The sequence below is a fragment of the Homo sapiens genome, chromosome 22, assembly GCF_000001405.40.
Source record: "Homo sapiens chromosome 22, GRCh38.p14 Primary Assembly".
Taxonomy (NCBI): domain Eukaryota; kingdom Metazoa; phylum Chordata; class Mammalia; order Primates; family Hominidae; genus Homo; species Homo sapiens.
In genome coordinates, this window is record NC_000022.11 from 40,230,873 (window position 1) to 40,246,206 (window position 15,334).

The window sequence follows — 15,334 nt, forward strand, 5'->3', positions numbered from 1 at the left end:
GATTTTACATCTAGTTCTATGATTCATTGAATTAATTTTTATATATTGCCAAGGTACAAATTGAGGTTCATTTTTAAAGATATTCCTACTAGTTATTCTAACATCATTTGTTGAAAACACTCTCTTTTCTCAGCTAAATTACCTTTGCAGCTTTTTTGAAAATTGGTTGTCTCTCTCTCTCTATATATATATATATCAGTGTATTTGTGGATTCTGTTCTATCCCATTGAACTTTTTGTCTATAGAAAAATAAGACAGTACCATACTGTGTTAATCACTTTAACTTTATAATAAGTCTTCACGTCAGGTTGTGTAAGTCCTCCAACTTGGTTCTTTTTATAGTTGCTGACTATTCTGAATCCTTTGCTTTTCCATATGAATTTTAGAAGGTACTTGTCAATTTCTACAAAAAAATTCTGCTGGGATTTTAATATAAAGATTTCGTTGAATCTAAATTAATTGGAGGATGATTGACATCTTAATATTAAGTCTTTTCATTCATGAGCATGGTACATCTCTTCACTTACGTAGGTTTTTAAAAATTTCTATCCGCAATGTTTTGTAGTTTTCAGTGTACATATTCAGGACTTGCATATTTTTGTCAGATTTATTCTTATGTGTTCACAGTTTTTGAAACTTATATATATGGAATCTTTTTTTAAAATTTCTATTTCTGATTGTTCCTAGTATGTAAAAATGTAATTAGTTTTTTTATATTGATCTTGTATTTTGCAGCCTTGTTAAACTCACTTATTAATTTTGGTAACCTTTTTGGTAGGCTCCATTTGATTTTCCAAATAGGAAAGATTTTAATATAGGGAATCGAAGGTTCACACAACCGCTGGAAAGTCTAATGAAAGAAGTTCAGGAAGGCTCCTATTATTGTTGATGAAATTAGAGTGCATATTCCTAGAGGAGCAGTCATGTCAGCTGCATGCAGCTATGGCTTTAGATGATCTGGAAGCTGCTGCAGAATAGGAAAGTCCTGCCTGTTGTTGCCTATGTGTCTTTTTGCAACTGTTTCTAGAGAATATTGACTTCTTTTCTGCTTTCCAGATCTAAGAAGGGTACCTCTCCTTGGTGGCAGCTAACCTGGAACCCTACAGGGAATGGGATTCTGGAAAATATAGTTCCAGGCCATTTCCTGAAGTGCAGGGAAGATCAGGAGAGGTGGTGATGGCAGTTTGACAGTCTGGCACTGACGGTATTAATAGAGATACATAATTACTCAGTCATGGAAAAGTGACTTAGCAGTATTGTGAAAAAACAGGAGTGTTAGGTGGCTGTAACTCAGTAAGATGTGATTTCCAAGAAAGCAAATGACCTCTTTAACAGTATTAGCAGCGGCATATCATACGGGACAAGTAAGTGGCAGGCCCACCCTATTTGGTTGCCTTGCCCGGTAATTGGATGAGGGTAGACAAACTGGAACATGTTTAAGGGATAATGATCCCAGTGGTAAGGGGATAGAAAACCAGGTCGTGAGTGGAATGTGTGAAGGAACTAAAAGTGTTTCAGGGATGCATCATGGATAACTGCACATATTTGGAGAATTTATTCCATGTGTTCTGAAAAGGAAGTTTTAGGACCAGGGAGTCGAAGCTATCAGGAGACATTTCTCAAGGCACTATGAAGAACTTCCTTCCCAGCTGCACTAAGTTTGAGTAGGAAGCCACATCTCTCCTTGTTCGAGTTTGCTGAGCTGCCCAGCTCTAGAGTATGTAAAGCATGAGACAAATGTTCTTCAGGCACCATTCTAACCCTGAAATTTTTTGCGGGGAAAAAGCTTTCAAATTGTTGGTTATAGCTTTTGCCACATAGAATTTTGGAAAGTAAAAACAAGTTTTTAAAAATAGCTGGCTGGGTGCAGTGGTGCACGCCTCTAATCCCAGCACTCTAGGAGGCCAAGGCAGGCGGATCACTTGATAACAGGAATTCGAGACCAGCCTGGCCAACATGGCGAAACCCTGTCGCTACTACAAAAATTAGCCGGGCGTGGCTGGGCGCGATGGCTCACGCCTGTAATCCCAGCACTTTAGGAGGCTGAGGCGGGCAGAACACGAGATCAGGAGATCAAGACCATCCTGGCCAATGGTGAAACCCTGTCTCTACTAAAATACAAAAAATTAGCCAGGTGTAGTGGTGCGCGCCTATAGTCCCAGCTACTCAGGAGGCTGAGGCAGGAGAATCGCTTGCACCCAGGAGGTGGAGGTTACAGTGAGCTGAGATCTGCTGCACTCCAGCCTAGCAACAGAGTAAGATTCCGTCTCAAAAAAAAAGAAAAAAAGAAAAGAAAAGAAATTAGCCAGGTGTGGTGCCTCGTTCCTGTAGTCCCAGTTACTTGGGAGGCTGAGGTAGGAGAATTGCTAAACCCTGGGGCCGGAGGTTGCAGTGAGCCAAGATCGCGCCACTGCACTCCAGCCTGGGCGACAAAGCAAGACTCGTCACAAAAAAGAAAAAAAAATTATCAGCCGGTCGCGGTGGCTCATGTCTGTAATCCCAGCACTTTGGGAGGCCGAGGAGGGTGGATCACAAGGTCAAGAGATCAAGACCATCCTGGCCAACATGGCAAAACCCCGTCTCTACTAAAAATACAAAAATTAGCCCAGCGTGGTTTCATGTGCCTGTGGTCCCAGCTACTCAGGAGGCTGAGGCAGGAGAATCGCTTGAACTCAGGAGGCGGAGGTTGCAGTGAGCTGAGATCGCACCACTGCACTCCAGCCTGGCAGCAGAGCAAGACTCCGTCTCAAAAAAAAAAAAAATTATCTTACTTTATTTGGTTTGAGTAATTCCAGACAAGCCAATTCCTTGCATATGCCTTAAAATACGTAAACTGGGAAATTCATGAAAAGCTTGGAGTCAGAGGGCTATGTCGGCAAAAGTCTATTGCCATATTTCATGGATTCTGAGCCTCACGTTCTTTTACTCACTTGACATCTCTGAAGTCTGCATTCACCCTACAGTGGATGCCACCCTTGGATGGCTGGTGCCTTTCATTTGCTGTCATCCAGCTGGCAGTTGTTCTTGCCTGCACATGCACAGATTGGTCCTAGCTATTCCTAATGTCATCGTTTCAGTAGAGTTTCACAAAGGCTACGCTACACGAGTTGTTTAATCTAAAATACCTTCCCAGGCCGAGTGCGGTGCTCACACCTGTAATCCCAACAGTTTGAGAGGCCGATGCAGGAGTATTGCTTGAGTCCAGATATTCAAGACTAGCCTGGGCAACATAGCAAGACCCCATCTGTACAAAAAATTAAAAAATTAGCTGCACATGGTGGTGCATGTCTGTAGTCCCAGCCACTTGGAAGGCCAAGGCAGGAGGATCACTCAAGCCCAGGAGTTTGAGGCTGCAGCGAACCATGATCACACCATTGCATTCCTGCGTGATAGAGCAAGACCCTGTCTCAAAACAAACAAACAAAAACTTCACTAAGGTTATACTGTAATTACACATTGAAACACAGATACAAATAATGAGGCGAATGCTTGATATTAATGAGATTTTAACTAAGAAATGACTACAATTCTATATTTTCTTGAAAAGAAACAACCAAGTGCATACTCGTGTGCTGCTCAAAGATCTAGGGACCAGCAGCTTATTAGAAATGGAAAATTGTAGGCCCTGTCCCACAGCATTCTAAATAAGAATCTGCGTTTAACAAGATACCCATTAAAGTTTGAGAAGCATTGCTTTACACAGCCTCAGAAAGGAAGGTAACACAATGTAGAAGGAACTGTGTTACATTTTGTTACCAACATATAAAAGTGTTACCTATCACATGTCACATAATAAAATTGAAGGCAGGAGAAATTTCTTTATCCCTTAAAATTAATTAAAAATGCATTTACCTTAATCTTTCTAGTTTTAATGTTGTTTTCTTCTTATAAGCCACTTAGAATGATTTTTATGCCCTAGTGCTATTTGGCCTTGTCTGCTAATTTAATATGTGCAAATTACATTAGCATCCCATTAAATTCCCTCAGATCCAGCAAATGAAAAAAATGTTAAGAACAAATCCAATATACATATTTGGAGTACCCTACTATGTAATTTCCTCTGCCTGAATGGATATGTTCCAACATGCTTTTTGTGTGTGTGCATTTTTAATTAAAAACATTTTAAGTGGATACTTTGAGCACTTGGCTTAACTCTCTTCATTGTACTCCTTTGTTAATTTTTCTTACCCCAAATTTGCGTGTGGTGTCATTAATCCTTAATTAGTTATAATTGGCAATGGTTTTGTGGCTAGTTATTTTCTTACTGTTTTATAAGTTGCCAAGATTACCTTTTATTTTCTAAGGAAATAATGTTCATACAAGTCACATGTCTTAGGTGCATTTTGAAAACCCCTATTTAAATCTGTATTGGGCAGAGTCCTTAGTATGTAGATAGTAGAATTCATTCTCACTGGTGTGTGGGTTTATTAAATGGTACTTGAGAGGCTGAGGGTCAGGTGACGCCCAGCACCACACCATGGAACTGGGGGTCCCGTGGGAGCTTTTTTCTTTTCCTGCACATTCAGGAAATTGCTGTTACAGGGGTAGGCTCCAGGACCACGTCATCCCTACAACGCTCTCTGAGAAGATGGGTGCCCTGTGTGTCCTCTGGTAAAGTCACACATGCACCTTATTGGCATAGCATAAATCACATCCCCATCTCTAATTGTGAAGGAGTCTTGGAAATAGGCCAGAGGGGCTTGGAATTGGTGTTGACTGAGCTGATGAAGATACTACCACGAAGTGAGATAATAGCTCAGTGACTAGTACACCACTAAAATTCCTGGGAAAAGAATTGTATTGTGAATTATGTGTCAGAGGAGCATTTTAAATACCCTTGTGGCTATCTGTCTATTCCTGCTATACTTAAGGAATACTTGATCGATTAAACTAACAATTTGAGCATGTTAAGATGAAGTGTAGATTCTAGAGTATTTTTGGAAATCTATTTCTGTAATGTGGGGACTAAATGATTTCTCAAATTCCTTTTGACTCTTAACGTGACTTTCATAAAGAAAATGATTTAAAGTAGGAGTCCTTGACAAAATTTCAAACAGGAGACCAAAAGATGAGTCAATGTTTGAAGCTCTCTTTTTTTAATTGAAATTTTTGAGATAATTGTAGGTTCACATGCCAGAAGCAAGGCAGAGAGATTCTGTATGCCATTCCAACAATGGTAACTTCTTGCAGAACTATAGTACAATGTCGCAACCCAGATTTTGATACGATCTGCCAAATTTTGATTTCCCCAGTTTTACTTGTATTTAATTGCCTATGTGTTTAGTTCTATACAATTTTATCACATGTGGGTTCATGTATCCACCACCATCAAATACAGGACAGTTCTGTCACCACAAGGGTCACTAGTGTCACCATTTTTTATAACCACTCCTGCCTCACCCTACCCCCCTTTGTATCCTCTGGCGCCCAACCACCTGTCATCTCAGAAATATTATCTAAATGGAATCTACAGTATGACACTTTTGGGAGTGGCTTTTCTCATTCAGCATAATTCCATGGAGATTCATCCAAGTTGGTGTATTATTAATGGTTTGTTCCTTTTTATTGTGGAGTTCTTTTTAATCTTTTACAGTATTAGTTTACTTCTGGCATAGTTCCCGTGTTGGGTGGCTCTCTTCCTGTTCCGGTCTGTCTGCCTTGATTTTGTGGAGTTGGAACTAGGACCGAAGGTGCTGCCACACTTACTGATCACAGGGTGTCAGGGATAGGTTTTGATGCTGTTACAGCCAGTCATCCAGACCTTAATGGAAGGGAAGATGCTTCTGGGAATGTGGAGCCATTTCCTGTCAAGATGAACCCTGGCTGTTCTTCTGAATTAAGGTTCTTATCATCCTTTCATTCCCATCAGCCTACAGGTGGAGATTAATATGTTCAAGTGTGAAATTGTCAGCCCTGCCTCTCCTGCATGTTTGAGGCACGATGGGCTCAGAGACATGCATACAGCAACCATTGGTCATGACTCTAGTTTGTGGAAAGAAGTTTATCTCTTGGCCGGGCATGGTGGCTCATACCTATAATCCCAACATTTTGGGAGGTCGAGGCGGGCGGATTATCTGAGGCCAGGAGTTCGAGACCAGCCTGACCAACATGGTGAAACCCCATCTCTACTAAAAATACAAAAATTAGCTGGGCGTGGTGGTGCATGCCTGTAATCCCAGCTACTCGGGAGGCTGAGACAGGAGAATCACTTGAACCTGGGAGGCGGAGGCTGCAGTGAGCTGAGATTGTGCCACTGCACTCGGGAGATGGCGTGAGACTCTGTCACAAAAACAAAAGTTGATCTCTAACCTGGATTATCACAAGCTTGAATTCACACATCCAAGATCCTGGTACTTTCAAAACAGCAAAGGCACTGCAGGCTGTCTTCAGAGTATTCCAAAGTGTGGTAGAGACAGGGAACAGAGCAAGGAGAGCACATTTTCTGCCCTGAAGGTGCTGTCTGGGTTGTGAGGTGAGGTAGGACTATTTAAAAAGTGGAACTGAGAGCCCCAGGAAAGCAGGCAGCACTGCATCTTGTTTGCTGCTGAATTCTCAGCCTCAGCCTGGTGCCTGGCATCAAGTGAGCACTGAAATACTGAGGGAACTGATGCGGCGGAAGGGAAACTTGCAGCCACGGTGCCCAGTTCTTCTGGTGTAGATGAGGGTGACTACCAAGTAAGCCAGAAAACCAGAGAAGGTGTGGGTGTGTGTCTGGGGAGGCTTGCTGCCGAGAGAAGGAAGAAGTGGGGGTAGCCATCTCCCTTCCCCCAAACTCACACCCAGCACTTACTTTCCCATCTTAGGCCCTGGGACTTACTCTTCTCTTGGCCTGGTCACTCATCTCCCAGATGGCTTTCTTTATGGAGGAGTCTGGATGTCCCTGTCTCACAGATGCCCGCTACGGACGCCTCATGGAAGGCAGCCCCCTCTTCCCATCTCTTCCCTCTTAGACACTCTGGCCCCTTTCCAGCTTTTTGTCTTCATGGCATTGCCTGGCGTTGTGTGTGTGTGTTTTCTGTCTCCCATCTAGAATGTCAGCTCCCTGAGGGCAGGGACCATCCTTCTTTTGCCCAGTCTTATATCCTGATTGTGTCACAGGTCAGTGCGTGGCATATCATAGACACTCAGCATGTTTATTAGATGATGTAGTTCGTTGTTTTGAGGCTGTTCTTTAAACGCATCTCCCCCGGGAGGGTAGAAAGTGTTGCTCACTCTTTAATGATGCATTTTGGTAGCATTTACTTGGAGGCCCTACTGTGTTTCTGGTGTTTGTGCCACGGACATAGGGCAGGGAGAAAAGGAAGGTTCATTCCCCTTCCCTTGTGCTCAGAGGCTTCAGCTGTGGCAAACGCACACACACTCGACTCGCCGTTCTCTAGTGTGGTGGGTGCTCTGGTGCAGCAGGCCAGCCCCCCGATAGCAAGGTTGACAGCTGAGGAGAGAGGCGGGCCTCCTGACTGAAACTGAGAATGAGAGGTTTTGGAAGTTTTGCATTTAGGTGCTTGTGTTCACCAGTCGCAATTTGATTCCTTATTCAATTACCAGAAAATATGTGCTGGTTAATTTAAAAAATGCATTCCCTGTAAGGAGATCCCCCCGCCCCCAACCACCGAATCCTGCTTCTGGTCTCATCCCTGCCACCTTCTCCCTTACACCCTGTACTGCATTCTGGTTGCCATTCCTCAGATACACCAATCTCACTGATTGACATTTGCCACTCCCTCTGTCTGGAATGTTCACCCCCAGATACCCACATGGCCCCATCCCTCACCTCAGTGAGTCTCCATTCTCATGCAACTGTATCAGAGGCCTTTTCTAACTATTATATGGAAGGTGTTGCCCTCTCCCCACCTCTCTCCTTCTCTGTCAGGTGAACTGTCTTCTCCTGAGCACTGTTGTTGCCTGAACTGTGTATTTTATACATGCATCTTGTTGTATATCTTGTTCATTTGTTGCCTTTCTCCCCCACTGGGATGTAAGTCACATGAGAGCCAAAGCTCGGTTTTGTTTCTGCCAGATCTCCAGTGCTTAGAAAAAGTGCCTGGCTCGGCTGGGCGCAGTGGCTCACGCCTGTAATCCTAGCACTTTGGGAGGCCAAGGTGGGCGGATCACTTGAGGTCAGGAGTTCAAGACCAGGCCAGCCAACATAGTGAGACCCCGTCTCTACTAAAAATACAAAAGTTAGCTGGGCGTGGTGGCAGGCGCCTGTAATCTCAGCAACTCAGGAGGCTGAGGCGTGAGAATCACTTGAACCTGGGAGGCGGAGGTTGCAGTGTGCTGAGATTGCGCCACGGCACTGCAGCGTGGGTGACAGAGCAAGACTCCATCTCAAAAAGAAAAGAAAAGTGCCTGGCTCATATTAGACAATAAATGTTTGTTAAAGGAATGAGTCAGTTCCTGGACATCCTAGTAGAAGAGAGCCAAGTCAGTCTGTGCCTTCCGGTCTGTGCCTGTTACCACCCTGGTAAAAGCAGCCATGCCGCAGAAAGTCACTTCAGGTGCTCTGATGCTGCCAGTACCGGTGTCATCTGCCTTGAGACCTTGAGGGCCAAACAAGAGACGGGGCAATAGTTGTGGGGTCTGCAGAAGAAGGCAAGTTTCTCTAGAGTTGGAGTTACTGGGGATGGTGCTGTTGAAGCAAGTGGATATTGAGCTAGGACTTGCCACTAGGGTAAGGTGTGATGGGCATTAAAGAGGATGGTTTTTGTCAGGCGTGCAGAATGAGGAAAATGTAAAAGCTAGAACTGTACTATGAATGGCTTTGAATGCCAATTACAGATGCTTCAAGCTCTTAGCTTTCCCTTTGCATGGTCTCGGACCATTGGAGGGTTCAGTTCTGGGATGTAGCCGGTTCCTAGGGATCTCAGCATCGTTGCTTTTTGGTGTTCTGAACTTGCATGCGGGGCAGTCTTGTTATGCCTCAGCTTAAGTGAATATTGTGAATATTGGGTATTTTCTTTTTTTGTTTTTCTTTCTTTTTTTTGAGACCGAGTCTCGCTTTGTCTCCCAGGCTGGAGTGCAGTGGCGCGATCTCAGCTCACTGCAACTTCTGCCTCCCAGGTTCAAATGACTCTCCTGCCTCAGCCTCCCAAGCAGCTGGGTAGCCCGCCACCATGCCCAGCTAATTTTTTTGTATTTTTAGTAGAGATGGGGTTTCGCCATGTTGGCTAGGCTGATCTCAAACTCCTGACCTCATGATTTGCCCGCCTCAGCCTCCGAAAGTGCTGGGATTACAGGCATGAGCAACTGTGCCCGGCCGAATATTGGGTATTTTCTATTCAGGTACAAGTCACTTCTACTTTTCTCTACTATTATTGTAAAAAATTAAGAAGAAAACACTGTTGTATTCGCTCTTCACCTGAGAGGTTCTCAAGAGTAGTTTGGCTTTTTACCATTCAGGATTTATTCTAGATTATGGTGTTTGCACTTGCTTTATCTTTTGCCTGCCTGCACAGTACCTCCCACACATTCGTCCCCTGCAGAGGCAATATTAAACCCCCAGCTCCCCTAGACAATGCTTCGTAACCTTTTCAGGTCAAGACACACAGAGAAAAGATTAGTACAGCACACTGGGGTAAGTAGATGAGGTTGGACTGGGCTAGCAGCAGTCCCAGGCTGGGCTGTAAGGAGTTTGAGGGGCTTTGTATTCCATATGTACCTGGAAGCTGGGTGCACCTATAAACTATTCTTGGCACAAAGTTAGGGAATTGGAGGTGCCCATAGTATTGCTTTGGAAGCCATAGTAGAGACTCAGTAAATACTTAACTGAATTTGTTGAATGAATTAAATAATTTGAAAGTGATGAGTTTTACATCTGGCTGTATATTTAGAGATGAGAGAAAATATGAATGATTTCTCTTGCCCTTCATACTTAGAAGCAATTGATGATCAAGTAGGACCCACCTAGTCACCTGGCATTTGCATTTGTTGCTGTATGGGAGGGTTTTTTATTGTTGTTGTTTGTTTTGGAGACAGGGTCTCACTCTGTTGCCCACACTGGAGTGCAGTGGCATGATTATGACTCACTGCAGCCTCAGCTTCCTGGGCTCAGGTGATGGGAGGTTTGATTTTTGAGACATAAATCAGGTAATAATGTTTTCAAGTGTAGGTATAAACAAGAATTTAGAGCAGTTTCTCAACCCTAGCTACATGTTAGAACCACTTGGAGGGACTTCTGAAAATCCCTGGAGATTTCTATGTAATTGACCTGGGGTACTGCCTGAGCAATAGTTTTGTGTTTGTTGTTTATATTTTCTTTTGTTTTTGGAAACAATCTCGAACTTACAGAGTTTGAATCTGTATGATTTTAAAAAGCCTCTTTTTCCCCTGAGTCATTTGAGAATTAACTGCTGATCCAATGCTGTCACCTGTAGCCCTTTCACCAATACTATAGTCTGTTTCTAACAAAAAGAACATTCTGGTGTAAAACCACAATATAACCATCAAAGGGAAAAAATTAACACACCGATTCATGACCACCACTTACTCTTCAGCTCCATTCAAGGTGTGAGATTTGCCGCACATTGCATTTGGTTGTTAGGTCTTTGCAGTCTCCTTTCATTTGGAACAATTCCTCAATCTTTCCTTGACTGTCACAGCCTTAAAACTTTTGAAGATTGCAGGCCAGTATATTTTGTAGAATGCCTCTGAATGTGGAGTTGTCTGATGGTTCCTTTGATGGTATTCAGGTTAAACACATTTAAAAGGACTCATAGAATCAATGCTGTGTTCTTCTTACAGCATCCTGTCATGTAACTCACAGTTTGAATTTGTCCCATAGCTGATGATGTTCACATGGATTACTTGATTAAGGTGGTATCTTGACAGGCTTCTCCTTGACGTAATTACTCTTCTCAACCCTTTATGACAAGTATTTTATGGGGAGGTGTTTTGAAACTATGTGACTATTCCATTCCTCATTTCAATTTATTCATTTGCTTATTTCTCTCTGTATGAACTTGTGTTTTCCTATTTTATACAATGGCTTATAGTCTCTTACTATAATTACTTATTTTGATGTTGATGTTGTTCCAGATTTAGCTTGTAGGAGCACTTCAAACTGTCGTCTGTGGTCATTTGACGGATCCCATCATTCTTTGAGCACTCTTTTGCTTCTTGGCAAATGTACATTCCAGGTTCATCTTGTACTTTCCTTATGCTACCCCCAGAATTAGCTCTTGTTCCAGAGAACTCTGGTTTTATTTAGTGAAGAATAGAAGCCACAAAACTGGGTGCTAAGTGTGTTCATTGTTATTTGGATATTGCTTGTTCTCCAGCCCTCAGAGTGACAGAGCTAAGGGAATAAGAGTGTGTGTGTGTGTGTGTGTGTGTGTGTGTGCATGCGCACGTGCGTGTGTGAAGGAATATATACTCACATATGTACACAAACTTACAGCTAATATTTATTGTGTCTATATATATTGGAAACCATGAGTTCACGTCAATAACTAATTTAGATCCAACCCCACAGAGTTCATTTGAGTTTTCTCCATTTTCTTCCATTTGTGTAACTTATTTTCTCAACAGTGAGAAACATGGCTGTCATTATTCTTTTTTTTCTTTTCTTTTTTTTTTTGAGACGGAATTTCGCTCTTGTTGCCCAGGCTGGAGTGCAGTGGCACGATTTCGGCCCACCGCAACCTCCGCCTCCCAGGTTCAAGCGATTGTCCTGCCTCAGCCTCCTGAATAGCTGAGATTACAGGCATGTGCCACCACGCCCACCTAATTTTGTATTTTAAACCTCTGTGGGGTTTCTCCATGTTGGTCAGGCTGGTCTTGAACTCCTGACCTCAGGTGATCCACCCGCCTTGGCCTCCCAAAGTGCTGGAATTACAGGCGTGAGCCACCGCGCCCGTCCCTATTATTCTTAATATACTTAAATAGTCCATCAGTCTCCTGTATGTAACCCATCTCCATCACCACCCCCATGGACGCCTTCTCCACATAGATGTCCATTGCTCTTTGCTTGGGCTCTCACTCAGAACAGGGATTTATTTTATTTTATTTTACTTTTTGGAGACAGAGTCTCGCTCTGTCACCCAGGCTGGAGTGCAGTGGCGTAATCTTGGCTAACTGCAACTTCTGCCTCTGGGTTCAAGCAATTCTCCTGCCTCAGCCTCTCGAGTAGCTGAGACTACAGGCGTGTGCCACCACGCCCAGCTAATTTTTTTGTATTTTTAGTAGAGATGGGGTTTCACTGTGTTAGCCAGGATGGTCTAGATCTCCTGCCCTCGCAATCCACCCGTCTCGGCCTCCCAAAGTGCTGGGATTACAGGCGTGAGCCACCGCAACCGGCCTGGATTTTTTTAAAGCTCCCCAAATGGTGCTAATGTGCAGCCTAGATAGAGAACAGTACTGAATTAGAAAAAAGGTGAGACTCACACTATTTGATTTATTGTTATAAATTTTTGATTTAAAAGTGGCAGGTTTTTAAGCCAGATTTGGCAAAGTAGATTCTTCCTAAGGAAGTGAAATTTAAAAAGAAGACTAACTCCTACCAAAACAAAACAAAACAAAAAACAGGGTGAAAGTATAGCTTGTCACCTGCAAAGCTTTGAAATATATCTGTTTTAGAAATGAATTTACTTCTATTGAGCATGAATTTCAATCTATTTCCCTTAATTGCCTGTTTATAGGGACAATATTTGAAAAGGTTTGTTTTTGAAGAACGTGTTTGATTAAAACTTACCCCTTTTTTTACATTTTATTTTATTAATTTATTATTCATTCATTTATTTATTTTGCTCTTGTTGCCCAGGCTGGAGTACAATGGTGTGATCTTGGTTGACTACAACCTCCGCCTCCCAGGTTCAAGCGATTTTCCCGCCTCCGCCTCCCAAGTAGCTGGGATTACAGGTGCATGCCACCACGCCCAGCTAATTTGTGTGTTTTTAGTAGAGATGGGGTTTCACCATGTCGGCCAGGCCAGTCTCGAGCTCCTGACCTCAGGTGATCCACCCACCTTGGCCTCCCAAAGTGCTGGGATTACAGGTGTGAGTCACTGCGCCCAGCTAACATTGCATTTTTTAAAGTAAACTTTTAATTTTAGAATAATTTTAGATTTAGAAAAAAATGACAACCTAATACCTTTTTTTTTTTTGTAAACACCAAATCTTTAAACAGGAAATACTCAGGCTGTGGTTGCTACTTTCCTGTAGTTGGTTTCACTGTAAAATGTGGAAGCCAAGTTACAGCAACATGGGCATGAGGAACCCCATCCACTCCTTCCACTTGCAGCCAGAGGAAGCAAAAGGCTTTAAGAGCCAAATATAACAGGATCTGTGGCCAGCCTGCCTGAGATGATCAACATCCATCTTACCAGTGTTTGTAAATCCATTTTCTTAAAGGAGGGCACTGCTGCTGCAGGTGGATTTTCTCCGCGTGTTTCACACCTAGACAGAGGCACACAGTCTGACTCCAAAGAAATCCAGCATAAGACCTAAGGAAATTTCAGTAAAATCTCCTCCTTGGTTGTGTGGATTTTGCATATTAGGCTTTTATATCTTTATACCCAGAGGTGCAGAAGGAGAAAGGCTAATATTTGAATGCAGACAAAGTCAGTGACAACATGTAGGTAAAAAAGTTTTTTAAGTCTTTTTTTTTTTTTCTATAAATAAGACATTATGTATTCACGAGAGCCCACCTCAGTTTTCATCCATGGTTCCTTTTGTATAGTTTCAGTATGTTAAACTAGATCTCCGCTTCCCAAACTTGAGTCCTTCGGGAACCATCTTTATGATTTTGCCATGTTTGCAAACCTGTTATTCACTTAAGCTTTAATTTGACTCACTTGTAACTCAGCCTTATGCTAGGTGATATCTGTGAAACCATGGATTTGTTATCTGTTCGGTATTCTGAGGCCCTGGGAACTAGATCTTTAAGTCTCCTTCCAGCGATGAAATTCCATAAGCATAGAGTCTGGGGTTTCCCACTGTGAGCTTTGAAGTTACTGCAGTTGGTTGAGTGTATGTTTTTTCCCAGTTGATACATAGAGTGAAAGTTGACAGCATTCCAATAAATGTTACTTTTCAAATGTGTGCTGTAAATTAGAGTCTCTTAATTTCTTCAGATTCAGCACATTTCTCCAACTAGAATGTTTATGATTGTATACCATTTTTATTCTAATTCAGTGGAGCAAAACCTGGTTGTCTTAATTCATGTGTACGGGAAGATACAGTAGTGAATTCACCCAATAGGACATACATTTATTTATTTATTTATTTATTTATTTATTTTTGAGGCGGAGTCTGGCTCTGTTGACTGGGCTGGAGTGCAGTGGCACTATCTTGGCTCACTCCAACCTCCTCTTCCCGGGTTCCAGTGATTCTCCTGCCTCAGCCTCCCGAGTAGCTGGGACTACAGGAGCATGCCACCATGCCCGGCTAATTTTTGTATTTTTAGTAGAGACGGGGTTTCACTATGTTGACCAGGCTGGTCTCGAACTCCTGACCTCAAGTGATCTGTCTGCCTCAGCCTCCCAGAGTGCTGGGATTACAGGCGTAAGCTACCACGCCTATCCTGGAATACATTGATTTATAGGACACTCAGTGCCTGCCTTAAAAATAGAAAATAGAAATAGAAATAGAAAATATATAAAACAAATAGAAAATATATAAAACATATAGTATTAATACATATAGAGAAAAAATTTAGAATACAGAACATAGAGCTTTATGTTCACCACTCTGAAGATGAAATGGGAAAACACCTAATTTATGATAAATACATATGTACCATAATTGAGTTAATATATTCTGCATTATCTGTGAGGAATACTGCCCAGAAGCCATCTGGATATTGTCGTATTCAAATCAGGTCCTTTGCTGAGTGGAAATTAATCGTGTGTGTGTGTGTGTGTGTTTGTGTGTGTATTCTTTTAGGTAGATATTATAAAAGCTTACCTTAATAGGCTTCTTTGAAACGAAACTTAATGTCATGTTTTACAAAAGAGGTGACAAACCAAGATGTGGGAATAATTAAATGTGAGTTTTATGGATCCTTTTGATTTAAATGAAATACTGTGTTCTATTCAGTCACAGAGATGAAATGTCGTCTTGCCCACCACTTACAAGCATTCAATTTGCTGCGGAAATGGATTGTGAATGTAGATGTATAACCTTCTGTTATGATGTTACTTTAATAGAGAGAAGGAGCAAGAAAGGGAAGAACAGTTAATGGAAGACAAGAAAAGGAAGAAAGAGGATAAAAAGAAAAAAGAAGCCACTCAGAAGGTAGGTTTAATCAGTTAAGTCTGTCTTTTTATCTGCTAGGCATCCAGCATCCAGAACAAGAAACTGTCTTGGCTTGAATATCCGATATCTTTTATTTTTTTTCC

General features: G+C 42.3%; 1 protein-coding gene across 3 annotated transcripts in view, besides 1 other annotated feature; it reads left to right on the forward strand.

Annotated features, from left to right (window-relative positions):
* TNRC6B (trinucleotide repeat containing adaptor 6B) overlaps positions 1-15,334 on the forward strand; it is a 290,975-nt gene that overhangs the window by 186,039 nt on the left and 89,602 nt on the right. For all 3 annotated transcript variants that reach the window (NM_001024843.2, NM_001162501.2, NM_015088.3), the window contains one exon: positions 15,143-15,230. In NM_001024843.2, coding sequence (NP_001020014.1) covers positions 15,143-15,230 — 88 coding nt within the window. The remainder of the gene's footprint in view (positions 1-15,142; positions 15,231-15,334) is intronic.
* Positions 6,933-7,834: an enhancer, noted in NCBI's record as "H3K4me1 hESC enhancer chr22:40633809-40634710 (GRCh37/hg19 assembly coordinates)". NCBI's record gives its function as "activates a minimal SCP1, AML or CMV promoter by ChIP-STARR-seq in primed H9 embryonic stem cells {active_cell/tissue: H9 hESC(primed)}" and the evidence as "EXISTENCE:reporter gene assay evidence [ECO:0000049][PMID:30033119]".